This window comes from Homo sapiens, chromosome 1 (genome assembly GCF_000001405.40).
Source record: "Homo sapiens chromosome 1, GRCh38.p14 Primary Assembly".
NCBI lineage: Eukaryota > Metazoa > Chordata > Mammalia > Primates > Hominidae > Homo > Homo sapiens.
In genome coordinates, this window is record NC_000001.11 from 110,493,230 (window position 1) to 110,508,277 (window position 15,048).

At 49.9% G+C, this 15,048-nt stretch overlaps 1 annotated feature.

The window, feature by feature from the left end:
• Positions 568-1,534: an enhancer, noted in NCBI's record as "NANOG-H3K27ac-H3K4me1 hESC enhancer chr1:111036419-111037385 (GRCh37/hg19 assembly coordinates)". NCBI's record gives its function as "activates a minimal SCP1, AML or CMV promoter by ChIP-STARR-seq in primed H9 embryonic stem cells {active_cell/tissue: H9 hESC(primed)}" and the evidence as "EXISTENCE:reporter gene assay evidence [ECO:0000049][PMID:30033119]".

The following is a 15,048-nucleotide window of genomic DNA, read 5'->3' on the forward strand; positions in this document are numbered from 1 at the left end:
GAGGGCAGTGAGGGCACAGCGAGGGCAGCTCCCCACTGGGGCTAACGCAGTGTTGCCACACAGCACCCCTGTGGCCTCAGCAATGTTCCTGGCTGCAGAGAACTCTCTGCCTGGAATGTTCTCTACTCTCCAACTCCTCTCCAACTCCTCTGACTTTCAATCAACCTTCAAACCTCAACTCAGTCCACATCTCTTCAGGATGCTTCTGACGAGCCTGGGGGCTTAGTGTCATACCACTTATTTCCCTGTTGGTCTTCCTCATGGCCTCTGGGCTCACTGAGCACAGACATTGTGCACTTCTCATTTTCTTTTCTTTTTTTTTTTTTTTGAGACAGAGTCTTGCTCTGTTGCCCAGGCTGGAGTGCAGTGATGCAATCTCCGCTCGCTGCAACCTCTGCCTCCTGGGTTCAAGTAATTATCCTGCCTCAGCCTCCTGAGTAGCTGTTATTACAAGTATGTGCCACCACACCCAGCTAATTTTTGTATTTTTAGTAGAGATGGGGTTTCACCGTGTTATCCAGGCTGGTCTTGAACTCCTGACCACGAGTGATCCGCTCACCTTAGCCTCCCAGGCAAGAGCCACCATGCCCAGCCTCACCTCTCATTTTGATATCTTAGGTGCCCAATTCATGGAATGTCCCATCAAGTATTGTAGGGTGAATGAATGAATGAGTCACTTGGTAAGGTCCACAAGAGTCACACTGCTTTCTTTGTCTCCTCTTTCCTCTTGGATCTTTATATCCCCCCTTCCCAGCACACACTCAGGCCCACTCCCCATGTCTTCTCCCTCCCCTAGCTGGCCTAGAACACTCCCCATTCCCTTGCTGTCCCCCTGGAACTCCTCTGTGCATGTTAGAAGGACAAATGGCCACCAGGGATTTATGGTTCTGGGACGGGGTCCACATTGGTCTCTGTGGTCAGGCCTTCTGAGGGCTGTGCCAGGTGGTGAATGAGGAGGCTTTGGGAAGGGGCCACCAGCACATCCGTGGTTTGCTTATGAAGAGGGCCTACCTGGAGGCCAGGGAGGAGCTGCAAGGCTAGAGGGGCCCCTTTGCAGGGCGGGGCTGACTTGTTTCTGGATATCCCACCAGCCCTATCTGCCAATAAGGTCCAGGCAGGGAGAGGGCAGCTGAGGAAGCCTTGGTGGCCATTCACGTCCACCCAGCAGGTGTTGCCTGCCGTCTGTCCTTCTGCCACAGCCACATCCAACACCTGCAGGGTTCGCCTCTGGGAGTTTGTGACCCCTGTTCCCTTTGCCTGCTATGCCTTTCCACCTTCTCTAATCTGTGAAGTGCTCCTTCTCCTTCAAGGCCAGCCTAAATGTCACCTCTTCTAGGGTCCCCACTCCTCCACTTTCTCATTGCGTTTATCCTGTCATAGTTGTTCACCGACACATTCGTCTCTCTGACTAAACTGCTGACGAACAGTGCCTGCGTCCTTCCTCCCTGAATCCTCAGCGCCCAGCAGAGTTCCTAGAATGCTGTGGAGGCTCGGCCAATGCCCGAGGGTGGCTTATGCTTTGTGATGCAGCACGAGTAATGAGTGCTGAGAGATGCGAACTCACAAAGACCAGGTGTGGATGTGTGCACAAGCACACACACGTGTGCACACAAGTACATACATGCACACCCATGCCCTGCCCCTGAGTAGACACAGACCCAGGCCCCAGTTCTAGAGCCCTATTCCCAGCCCCTCTCCTCCCCTGTCACTCAACGCCTTGCCAGTTCTTATGCTAATGAGAGGAAGCGTTTGGGCAGAGAGAAGCTTGGAAAGGAAGTCTTTGAAATGGAAATGTTATGACAAAATGATGGATTGTTTTCCGAGCTGTGCAGTTTGTTTCTTTCTTGCAGCAGAAGGGAGAGTATAACAGAGACAAGAGTGGCAGAGGCTGCCCATGTCAGCAAGCCCCAGATGGCAAGGAGTGCGGGTGAAACACTCCGGGACCATGGAGCGAGGGGAAACTGCAAAGCAGGCAGAGGGACACGGCCTAGCTACTGTCCAGAAGCCTTGGTCATGGCTGGGGCCCGACTGGCCAGAGCATACAACGGCTGTCTGGAGGAGGTGGGGTCTCTGAAGACCAGGAGGGACATCTGACCCGTCCTTCTGCCAAGGCTGCCATACTCAACACCCTGCAGGGCTCATCTCTGAGCCTCTGTGCATGCTGTTCCTTTGCCTGATATGACTCCACCTTCTCTAACCTGCAGACTGTTCTTCGTCCTTCAAGACCAGCTGATATGTTATCTCCACTGGGAAGACTCCTACTGTACATGAGGCCTGCTTCACCCAAACTCCCTAAACCATAGGAGAACTCATTGGCTGATCCCTAGCTCCTTGATTGACTTGGGGCTAATTAGAATTGTTGCCTATCTTACTCATTAAAAATATGCATTGCATACTTGCTGTGTGCAAAATGCTGTTCTAGGCACTGTGTCCATTGGTGAACACAAACAGACCCTCCGTCGTCATGGGACTTATGTCCTGGGGGGACACAAACAATGAGATCATAGATGCATAAGTTACGTGGCTTCTGGGTGGTTATAAGCACATGGGAAAAGTGGAGTAATGAGGGAACACGCTTTGCTTTGAAATGAGGTAGGAAGGGCAGGCTCAGTGAGAAGGTGACATTTGAGCAAAGACATGAAAGATGGGTCAGCCATGCAGATATAGGGGCAGGGATGGTGTGTAAAGACTAAACACATCAGCATTTAATAAAGAGAAGCTACAGGTGGATACATATGGATACATTATTTTTTGCTTATGCCAGTTATCTTTCTAATGAAAGATAAGTTGCATCTCAATTGTTTAGCATCCTTTATAGCACTTAGTGTTTGACACGGAATAACTGTTCAGTAGACGTATGTTGAACGAACAAACAAGCTCCAAACTGTCTCCCTCTAAACCCCTTAGCCATGGTGAGGGCTGCCCAGGAGCCAGCTCTTGTCCTGGAGCGCCCTCTAGTGACCAAATCTCAGATGCCAGCTTTGTACATCTTGTTTATATCCTGTAACATTTCTCCTTCCCACCCCAGGAGAACTTAGGGACAGTGGCCAACCAATCAATAGAATTAACTAAGTGTCTCCTATGTGCAGGGCACAGTGGCAGCTTCTACACGAAGCACGCAGACTCAGGATATATGGTCCCTGCCCTCAAATCCCTCACTCACTGGACATCTCTCTGGTTAACCATTTCCTTCTCAACCTTTGCTCTCCGATAATCCCCCCTTTCTGATCTTTCTGGATCATCTGTAATACTGGAATTACATTTTGAGCTAGGGCTGGCTGGGTGAGGATGTGCATGCTGTGTGTGCCTGAGGGGCTTGGGAATAGCATTAGCTTTCCAGGTCAGCAAATTAGCCCATCATTCCGTAGTAGTGGAGGGGTGGAAGACAGCTAGGATCTGGTCCACTAGGCACTCCATGGAGTTTCAGAGCTGAGGCTGATGCTGGCTGGATAACATGCAGACCAAACTTGTCACCCCATTCTGGCTGGTGGAATTGTGCTTCCTTTTTAAGGACTTCTCATGGCCCTGGCCACCTTCTCTGTGCTGGTGGCCTTGGTATCCTCAAAGCCAAAGCTGAAGCTCCATTCCTGGGCACTAAGCCTCCACCACCTTTTGTCCTTGCCCTCTCCTCTGACCCCATCCATGAAACTCGAGAGCCCCTTTCTTTCCCAGGGCTCTGTTTAACACTGAGGCCAGAATAACTGTGTCCTGGTAGCTTTATTTTTAGGGCCTGTAAGAGGGAATAAGGAGCCTCTGGAGACAGGCCTCCCATGTGTCAGGGAGGGTCCTGGGCCCACAGGTGCCAGCCACACCTCCTGCAGCTTTGGAAGTCCAGTGCCAAATCTCAGCCACACCCCCATATCTGCTCCCTGGGGTGCACATTTCTCATCGAGAGCATAGCTCTTATGCAATGAGGTGGCTGTGGGCAAACTGGCTGTCCAGATGCCTAGGCTTAAGTCAGTGCCCTGGGACCTCCCGAGTTATGCTGGTGGCCAGTCTCTTGGCCTCAGCTCCTGAGTTAGGAAGGTAGGTGGCCTCAAGCTGAAGGGATGCTTTGGCTTGACTTCCACCACCTGGGCTCATGCCCCTTGTAGAGTGGATGATACGCAAAGAGTAGAGAATCTCCAAGTGCTTTCCTGAGTCCGCGCTTTTCCTGGGAGTCCCAGACGCAGACCAGTCAGGGTGAGAGTGGACTGGGAATCCAAGAATCTTCAGAAATTATTCTTCGGCTTGAAAGTCTGATGAATGAACTGATTACGGCTGGTGCAGAAAGTGCCCCGTGGACACTCTATCACTGGGTGGCAGCCTGGGTATGGATTTGGACTGGGCTTCAAAGATTTTATTTGGACCCAAGAGGGAGAAAAATGGCTTTCTGCATCCCACGGAGTGCTTCCTGGCAAAGGGCAGTGGGCACTTGTGCATATGTCTCCCAAGCCACCTTCTCTCCTTTGACCACTTAGATCTGGATCTTCCTTCTAGCCTTAAGCAGCGTCCTAAGAGTGGTGTCTTCTCTTCCTCTCTGTCATCCCCATGCTGCCCTGGTTCCCATTAGTCCTTACCTTCCCCAGGCCCTAAAAGTAGCTCTTTCCCAGGGCTGGAGTTGCCCCGGCCTTGGGAACACCCCAGCTTGGGGACTAGTGAGGCCCCAAGGGGTGCAGGTACTAGGTGGGACTTGATGTGTCTCTCCAACAGGAGCAGAGGGACACTGGAAAATCACTGGCCCCACTGGAGGTGCCTGAGCTAGGAAGATGAAAGAGGATGACACAGGGGACTGTCTTTTTTTCTCACACAGCTGGCAGCTCTGGCCTGGGGTCGGAGAGACAAATGTGTTGGGCGTGTGCCTTGTCAAATGAATTGTCTTTCTTTCTCTCTCATCAAATATTTACAGAGCATCCCTATCACCAGGTGCTGAAGCCACGATGGTGAGCAAAACATGCTCTTCATCCTCATAGAGCTTTATGGAGGTAAGAGTTATTGGGAGTTTGGTCTTGGTGAGATTTATTGGGAGGGACCATATTTTGGATTTGGATTTTCAATATTCTGTCCCATAGTTCCCTCAACTGATTGCAGTGTCCTAAAAAAAGCTGGTAATCCTGAAATCACACTGCATCAGTCAGACTGTTACTTACGCCAGCAAACATCACAAAAATCTTTTGTTAGGCCTCACGTCCCAGTTTTTAGTCCAGAAGGTGTGATTCCCATTCAGCCGGGGCTTCCAAGCCCCTGACGTAGAGCAGGGATTTGAATGGAAAAGAGAGAAGCAGCTGCGGCCCCGTGCCTGGAAAGCCCAAGTGTGCTCTCCTCCTGTTTGTGAAAGCCTCTCCTTCCCCAGGTCAGGGCAGGGCCTGTGACCCACTCCTCTGTCTACTGCTCCAGACAGGCCACCTGGACTTCACCAGTCTCCTAACAACCTACAAAGTCTCCCTGGATAACAGGATGTGACCTTTCTCATGTCAGCGAGGTTTGCTGGAGGATGTGAGAGCTGAAGCCAGAGGCAGTCCACAGCTGTGAGGTGATGGAAACTGGTAGGAAGGGGGATGTTATGGACTGAATTGTGTCTCCTCAAATTCACATGCTAAAGCCCCAACCCCGAAAGTGGCTGTGTTTAGAGATGGGGCTTTTGAAAAAGTAATTAAGGTTAACTGGGTCATATAGGTAGGCCCTCATCTGATGTGACTGGTGTCCTTAGAAGGAGAGGAAGAGATGCCAGCGATGTGCATGCACAGAGGAAAGGCCATGGGAGGATGCAGTGGGAAGGTGGCCTTCTGCAAGCCAGGGAAAGAGGCCTCACCAGAAACCAGCTCTGATGGCACCTCGATCTTGGACTTCCAGCCTCCACAACTATCCTTTGAGCCACATGGCCTGTGGCCTTCTGTCATGGCAGCCTGGGTGGACTGAGACAGGGAAGTTGCTGCAGGCTGATGGAAACAGAGGCTCAGCAGGGCTCCCATCTGAATCTGGATGAGGGAGGTGGGAGAGAGTCACCATCCCTGGGATTTGCTCTTGAAGGTTTTGGCAGCTCTGACCATCTCCTTAGGTTGATTGGTGGGCAGCCCCAATGTCTGCAGCCCTGGGGCCAAGGACTCTCCTATCAGGCCTCCTGGCCATTGCAGAGGATGTCAGGTGGTGGTGGTGGGGGGATGCCTAAAGGCCATGACTTCTTTCCTTAATGACATAAGACCTGATCCTCCAGGGCAGGCAATGCTCAGAAGCTCTCTCATTGGACAGCAGAGGCTGAAACTCGCAGGCAGGTCACGTCCTCTTGGAGGGTCTCTGATTAATCACTGCTGCCATCACCATGAGGTCCCTTGAGGGGTGCTGCTACCTTTAACTCTCTAACTCTCTGGTTCTAATGTGAGTGCACAACTCTTACTGTCATTCTTGAGTGCATAGGCTATGGATGACCCAAAGGGGAAAAAAACATGCCCCCAGATGGTCCTGCTTAAGAGCTGTGGTGTTGACCCAGTCCATCTCCTGGCTAATTTCTTTATGACAGACATCATCTGTATTAGTTTCCTATTGCTACTGTAACAAATTACCACAAACTTCGTGGCTCAAAACACCACACATTTATTATCTTATGGTTCTGGAGGTTGGAAGTCCAAAATCAGTCTTACTGGGCCAGAATGTACAAGGCTGCATTCCTTACAGAGCTCCAGGAGATAATCTGTTTCATTGCCTTTTCCAGTTTCTACAGGCCACCTGCATTCCCCGGCTTGTGGCCCCAACACTCGACCTCTGCTTCTGTGGTCGTAGCTCCTGACTCTGTCCTCCCACCATCTTCTTATAAATACCCCTGTGACTATAGGGGACCCATCCAGATAATCCAGATTAACCTCCCCATCTCAAGGTTCTGGGGATTAGGATCTGGACATCTTTGGGGGGCAATATTCAGCCTTATTATTCAGCATTAATGCACTTTGCCATGAAGCTTATCTGCAGGCAGTTTACCTCTTTGAGATCTAGATCTGAGAGAGGGAGGTTCAGGTAAGACAGGTGCTCCCCTCCATCTGCCCCAGGCTCCTTTCCTTGGATGACTGACACCAAGCATCCATTTCATTCACAGCACCCCCTTTCCTCATCCTCAGGGGGTGCCCTTTCTCTGTGGCTGCTGTGGGACAAGTTCATTAGAATACCACCCAGTACCCCCATCATCAGTACTCACCCCAAACCACAGCAGGCTGATCTCCTCACAAAAGCCAGAGAGCCAAGATTGGAAGCTAGGCCATCACAACTAGACACTCCTCCTCCCCACAAAATCCCATGACCTGCCCACCAAGCCTCACCATTTCCTTTACTGAGAATTGTTTGTACAAAAGGAGAGAGAATATTTGGCTTTTAGATATCTAAGCCAGGGAGAGGGCAAGAGAAGGAAAGAGTCACCTTCAAAAACTGGAACTGTCCAAGCCGGTGGTGGCCCTGGAGTCCCAGCACTGGCATCTGAGTCCACCCTGGGGGCTTGATTCCACATGGGCAGGGGGTGTCTGGTCATCAAACCCAGTTGTCTGGGGAGGATGGCACTGCCTTGACACTAAGTTTTAGACAAATAAGTAAAAATGTTTTGTCCTTGCTGTAGGTGGTAGTTGTATGGAACTCTTGTCTGGATGTAGTGGTAGTCTGGATATGGAAATAAGTTTCTAAAAATTTAGATAGGCTGGGCACAGTGGCTCACACCTGTAATCCCAGCACTTTGGGAGGCCAAGGCAGGTGGATCACCTGAGGTCAGGAGTTTGAGGCCAGCCTGGCCAACATGGCGAAACCCTGTCTTAACTAAAAATAAAAAAAATTAGCTGGGTGTGGTGGTGGGTGCCTGTAGTTCCAACTACTTGGGAGGCTGAGGCAGGACTCTCTTGAACCACTCCAGCCTAGGCGACAGAGTGAGACTCTGTCTCTAAATAAATAAATAAATAAATAAAAGTTTAGATAAATTTCAGGATGTCAGACTGGGTTCTTTTCCAGCCCTGTCACTCATTAGGCCACGTGACCTTGGACTTTCTGGGTCTCAGTTTCCTCAACTTAAATTAGAATACACAAGAACTTCCCCCAGAGGACTGTCACAAGGAGTGAGATAATGAGTGTGAAAGTGCTTTGTACAAGATATGCTACGCAGGAGTAGTATTATTATTAGAGGAATGTGAGCGTGCTGAGAAACATTCAGCACCTGGGAGGGCGGGCCAGGGAGGACAATTGTACCTCCCTACAGCCTGTACCTTGGTGGTAGGAAACTAGGCTGGGTGGTCCAGGGGTTGACCCAGTGTGGGAGACCTTATATTTTCATGTGTGAAAAGGCTCACAGCTCTATTCCAATGTGCCCCTTTCATTTCACCCATGCCCTCTGCTGGTCCAGCTCCACACTGGCAAATTGAGATCACATCCTATAACATGCATTACCCCCTGTGGTTGATAACCTTCCAAAATGGCCTCCAGTAATCCCTGCTTCCTGGTCAGCATGCCCTTGTGTAACCCTCTCGTCTTGAGTGTGGACTGGATTTTGTGACTTGCTTGTAACAAATAGAAGACACCAAAGCAATGCGTTTGGTTTGCAAAGCCCGTGGATTCTGTCTTGCTTGTACTCTCTCTTGCTTGCTGTAAGGAAGCAAGCTGCCATGTTGTGAGTGGCTCTATGAAGAGGTCCCTGGAGCAAGGACCTGAGGATGACTTTCAGCCAACAGCCAAAGAGGAATTTCCTCCGCCTCCAGTCCAATAGTCCAGGAGAGACCAAATCCTGCCAACAACCATGTGAGTGAGCTCAGAATCTCCCCTCTCCCGCTGCAGTGGAGTCTTGAGGTGACAGAAACCCTACCCAACATTTGGATTGCAGAGAGGCCGAGAGCTCTAGGAACCAGCTAACCTGTGCCTGTATTCACTCCCAATTCACAGAAACTGTATTCACTCCTGATTCACAGAAACTGTGAGTTGTAAATGTGTGTTGTTTTAAGCTATTAAGTGTAGGAGTAATTTGTTACATGGTGATAGATAACTAATGCACACTGTAAAGTGTCATTTGACATTAAGGAACTGCAGCATCATTACAATCTCAGTTTACTAAATACAACTGAATATCAGCTCTGTGCCAAGCACATGGTGCCTTGGGGTTCTGAGGCCATGACGATGAACGAGGCAAGACCCCAGCCTCCAAGATCTCACAGAGGGCAGGTAGACACCAAATGGGCAAAGTGAAGAGCGGAGGAAGCAGAGCAAGCCTCATGCAGGAAGGGGTGTTTGGGGTATCTTGAGGGATGAATAGGATTTCAAAAGGCAGAAATAAGGTGAAGGGTATTCCATGCGGGAAGAAATGTGGGTGGTGCAAAGCGTTTTCAAACATGTGACACTGAGCTGATCACAGATGAGAAAAAGTTGGACAGATTCAGTTCCTCTTTTCTGCATGAGGTTAGCACTAGGCAAAATTGGGAAGCTGCATCTTTACACAGCTTGCAAGCAATGGTGAAATAGAACAGAATGGTCAGGCTAGTGTGGGACCTGTGGCATGTGGAGGCGGGGGGCCATAGAAAGGAAGGGGGACCCCATAACCTTTACCTGCCTGGGTAAAGTTACCTGGGCTCAACCATCCTGGCTCTCCTGAGACAGCACTGCTAGTGGAGGTGGCTTCTGGCGGAGGAGCATGGAGACCTGCAGCCAAAACCCTCAGTTCGAATCCTGGCTCTGCCAAGTTGCTAGTTGTAGCATCTTGGGAAATTACTTTGACTGCTTTGCGACTCCATTGCCTCATCTGTGAAATGGAGCTAATTATAAATCCTGCCCCACAAGGTGTCATGAGACTAAGTTAGTTCATTTACATTAACTATTTTAGAATAGCGCATGGCATGCAATAAATATGTTACTGGTATTTTTTCAAGGGGCACAATCTGATCTTTGTATCATCCCTTTTTCTTTTTCTTCTTCCTTTCCTTCCTTTATTCCACAAATACTTGTTGAGCAGCAGACACCGTAGTGGGATTATGCACCAGACACTGTGTGGGGATTATCACATTAAAGAGACACAACCATGACTCTCAAAGGGTTCACCACCTTCAGGCGGGTTTTTATCCTAGGCTTTAGCCACCTTTCACAGAGTGTGGGCTGAGCAGAAATCTTCCGTGGAAGGATCAGGCCACCGTCTACCTGCATTCTACTTTGCACAGCACCTTTTACAGTTTGCTAAGAAATATCATGTATTATCTTATTTAATTCTCACAGTCATATTGGGAGCTTGGTATTGTTTGTCGTTGCTATTAACAAATGGAGGAACCGAAGTGTAGAGTGGGTAAAATAATTGTCCAAGGTCATGAAGCCTTTGGTGGCAAATTAGACACAAATATTTCCCACGATGTCAACAGTTCTTTTAAACAGGCTGAGGGTGAGACAGATACCTTGTGGAGGATTCAGGTCCACCAGGCAGGGAGGTCTGATTCCCCAAATGGGGGCCTCCTGGGGTGCCGGTGTCTGGCTGGGCTGCCCGCTGGTTCTGGACTTGGAATTCAAACCATTTCAGAATTCTGAGGCATCAATAATCCATTTTAAAGTTAAACAAGATGCCACTGTAAGAAGACATTTTTAGTCTCAGAGGGTGGCAATCTGACTTCCAGATTCCAGTGAAGTCCTTTCTCCAGATGGACGTGTTTGTCCAATCCATGTCCATCATCCCCCTGCATGGTGGAAGGCACCACAGGGCGTGGAGGAAGGGTGGAGGATGGCGAAGAGGGTGTGCATGTCGTGTGGTGGGGATTTAGTTCTTGACTTCAGGAGTCCTTTTCTGAGAGTGCAAAGCAGGAATCAGGACATTAAGAAATTCTAAAAGGTGACTCAAGCAGTTGAATAAAAGCAGCTTCATTTTATAAATCACCAGTGGGAGCCATTCCAGAACCTACCCAGGTGCTCTCCTGATTGAAAACCAACCAGCTGGAAGAGGGGAGAGAGGGAGGGGAGTAGACCCCAGTGCTGGAGACTTGTGAGGCCTGCCCAACACCACCACCCCCAACCCTGCTCTGCCCACCCACTCCTTGCCTGCCATGTCTTCCCCTCTGTCCTCATTGCAGGGAGACAGGGGGAGGTCAGGGAGGCTGGCTGGGAGCCCGGCTTCTGCTCCCCACTCTAACCTCTGCCACCGTCATAGGACAGCTCTGTGGTGGGGTGCCCTCTATGCCCATGGGCGGTGGTGGGTTCCACTGAGGAGTCGCTGCTGCTAAGCCAGGGAACATGATGTCGTGGGGCCCACACAGGCTCTGACAGTGCTGGTGGCTGCTGCTTTTCCTAGCTGCATGACTTCAGGCATATGACAACGTCTCTGAGCCAGTTTCCTCATTTGGACAGGGACGATACTAATGCTGTGGGTTAAATTTACACCCCATGCCCCCTCCAAAAAAGATGCACTGGAGTCCTAACCCCCAGTACCTCAGAATGTGATCTCATTTAGAGACAGGGTCTTTACAGAGGTAATGAAGTTAAAATGAGGACATTACAGTGGGCCCTAATCCAATATGATAGGTGTTCTTATAAAAAGTAGAAATTTGCCACGCCTTTAATCCCAGCACTTTGAGAGGCCGAGGTGGATGGGTCACGAGGTCAGGAGATCGAGACCATCTTGGCCAACATGGTGAAACCCCGTCTCTACTAAAAATACAAAAAATTAGCCAGGTGTGGTGGTGCATGCCTGTAGTCCCAGCTACTCAGGAGGCGGAGGCAGAAGAATCGCTTGAACCCGGGAGGCGGAGGCAGAAGAATCGCTTGAACCCGGGAGGCGGAGGTTGCAGTGAACCAGTGAACTGAGGTCGCGCCACTGCATTCCAGCCTGAGTGACAGAGCAAGACTCTGTCTCAAAAAAGAAAGAAAGAAAGAAAGAAAGAAAGAAAGAAAGAAAGAAAGAAAGAAAGAAAGAAAGAAAGAGAAAGAAAGAAAGAAATTTGGACAGAGAAACAGACACATATAGAGGGAAAATGGTGTGAAGAGATACAGGGAGAAGATGGCCATCTACAAAACAAGGAGCCAACCCTGCTGGCACCTTGCTCTTGAACTTTCAGTTTCCAGAACTGGGAGACAATACATTTCTACTGTTGAACCCACCCAGTCTGTGGTACTGTGTTATGGCAGCTCTAGCGAGCCAACACAGGAATACAACATCCGGCCCATAGGAAAGACTAATGTTCCTTGGGGTGGCAGGGAGGGGTCCTTCTCCTGTCCTGCCCCCATTTTCTCAGTTTCTGAGAAGCTGTTCTTGGCCAGGTCCTGCTCAGCGGGAGGCAGCTGTGGTGTCAGGGAAAGGCCTCAGGCTCGGGTCTCTGCTCCAGCACTGAGTAGACGGTGTGCTGGGGCAGGCATTGACCTTTTCAGAATTTCTGTTTTATCAACTCTAACCTGGGGCAAATATGAAACCTCCCTGAACAACTTGCAGGGTGGCTGTGTGGTTCAAATGAGATAACCATATACATGAAATCATTTTATAAACCACATTGCATTAATTTCTGTGGCAGCTGTTTCTGTCATAGGAGAGAATTCTGAGATTGACAGAGAGGTGTCACAGACGAGCTTGGGAACAGACATTCCTGCTTTGCTAGGAATTCGATGCTGCCCTAAGGGGCCCACGGTGGCAGAAGGCCAGTAGCCTTGCTCACAAGTGTTGCTAGTACTGCCTCACCTTGGGTTCAGGTATGCTGCTACCAAGTGGCAACAGGAAGCCTGCTTACATTTTGAACCTTTTTCTTGAGATGCCATATGTAGGAAAAATACTATTTATTTAGTGCCTGTTCTATGAAGTGGGCTTCATATTTGACAGTTTTTTTTTTTTTTTGAGACGGAGTTTCATCCAGGCTGGAGTGCAATGGTGTGATCTCAGCTCACTGCAGTTTCCGCCTCCTGGGTTCAAGGGATTCTTCTGTCTCAGCCTCCCAAGTGGCTGGGAATATAGGTGTGCACCACCATGCTGGCTAATTTTTGTATCTTTAGTAGAGATGGGGTTTTGCCATGTTGGCCAGACTGGTCTCCAACTCCTGACCTCGAGTGATCCACCCGCCTCTGCCTCCCAAAGTGCTGGGGTTACAGGCCTGAGCCACCGCGCCCAGCCTCATTCAAGCTTTTTAGAGAAGCCCCTTCCATTTCCAATGTGCTTGACCTCAGGTCCCCTGGCCACTTGCCTTCTATTCTTTGGTGTGTTATCCCAAAGACGAGGAAGAGAGCCATAGAGCCTTGCTTCTTTCTCCACAATGCAACAAGGTTTCTACTTTCTCGACAATGAAGTCAGATGCCCCCTGCCCCCTCTCCAAAGGGAAGCATCTTGGCGCTTTGTTCTTCTGATCAATAGGGAGATGCCTTGTCTCTCTCTGGCCAGAACTGCCTCCCTGACTTGAATTTGTGTCCAATGCTGGACTGACTTCCCTTCTGGGCTGCTAATTCTTTTCCAGTTGAATGTGACAACATCTCCAAGTGGAGCAGAACACTAAGGTGGAAAATGAACTTCTTTAATCAAGCCCTCAGCACTCAGGCTCTGTCCCATGACTGGTCAGAGACTGCCCACACAGGGCCAGTTTATCTTGGGCTTGAATAAGCCGGGGAGTGCGAGGGTTGGCTTGCTATTAACTCAGAAGGAGAAATCACGGAGTTGGAGGGTTTAAGCTGAGGCAGGCCTCAGACCCACCCACAAGGAGGGCGAGGGTTTCTGGCTGATCTGAGAAGCCCATTTCCACTCCTCAAGGGCAGAGAGCCCTCTTAGTTGGCTCTGTATCCCCAGAGCCAGCTTTGGCATCTGGCCCACGGCAGAAACATGGTGAATATTTGAGGAAAGAACAAGAGCATCATCTATACCCTGAGAAAGTTAATCATCCAGTGCACGGTGAATGTTAGTTATCTCCTCCTGCGTGGAGTCTCAGAAAAAAACAGAATGATTCAGGTCTGCACAGAAAATTCCGTGCCAAGAAATTACTTCAGCCCAAACTCTCCAGGTAGATAGGTCGCAATTATTGTCATTGTAGGGCATGTGAGGGAAGTCAGGGGAGCCTCTGATTTGGCTCTCCGGTGGCCTCGGTTCTCCCTTGGGTCGTCCGTCTTTCTTTCCCTTTTTCTGTTTCTTGCTTCATTTGTTGAGCATCTATTAAGCACCAGACACTGTGCTGGGACTGTAATATTAAAGGGCACAGCCATGGCTCTGGCAGGGTTCACAGCCTTCAGGTGGGTGTATCCTGGCTTTATCCTTTCAAAGAGTGTGGGCTGAGCAGAAATCTGCTGTGGAAGGGTCAGGCCACTGTCTACCTGCATCCTACTTTGTGTAGCACCTTTTACAGTTTGCTAAGGCATCTCAGGTGTTATTTTATTTAATTTCCACAATAATCTTGGAAGCCTGGTATTATTTATTGTTGCTGTTAACCATAGAACAACAGGTAGGGGTGGGAGACATGGGGGATGAGAAGGAGATGGCATAGCCACACCCTGAGTTCAGAAGAGCAGAAGATCCCATCTAAAATTCCCAATGATGGCAGCCATTCTCTCCCCAGGCATCTGACTGGCACCTCAGTGATGGGAGTGAAATAGCATTTATTATCTGGTGACATTTCGCAGGCAGCTTTTTACCTCCGCTTCCCCTGAGATGTGATAACAAAAGATTGTCTGATCTTCCTTTTACCCATCTCCCCAGCTCCCTACCACCCCCAGTTCCCTTTCATCCCTGCGTTTGAGGGCAACTGTTCTTCTGTCTCGAGGTTGGGCTGGCCAGAGCAAACATAGCTTTCCCGGGGGAGACCAGGCCATCTTTCTTCCTCTTACTTCAAAGGGGCTTTGGAACGCTCCACCCCATGGGCTGAACAGAATGTATTTCATTTTTTAGGAGGCTGGAATCAGCTGCCGAGAAGGGCAGGGGCACCTTGGGCTCTCCTTCCCTTCCCCATCTCCAGGACTCAGTAAGGAGGGAGGGCATGAAATCTCAGGCTCCTGGGCGGGGCTGGGGAGGCCGGCCTTGTCACAGGCAGGAGGGGCCGCATTCCTTCCTCAGCAGCTGGTGGAGCTGGGCCTGAGCAGGACTTCCCCAAAGGACTGAGAAGGAAGCCTCCACTCTGTCGTCGCTCT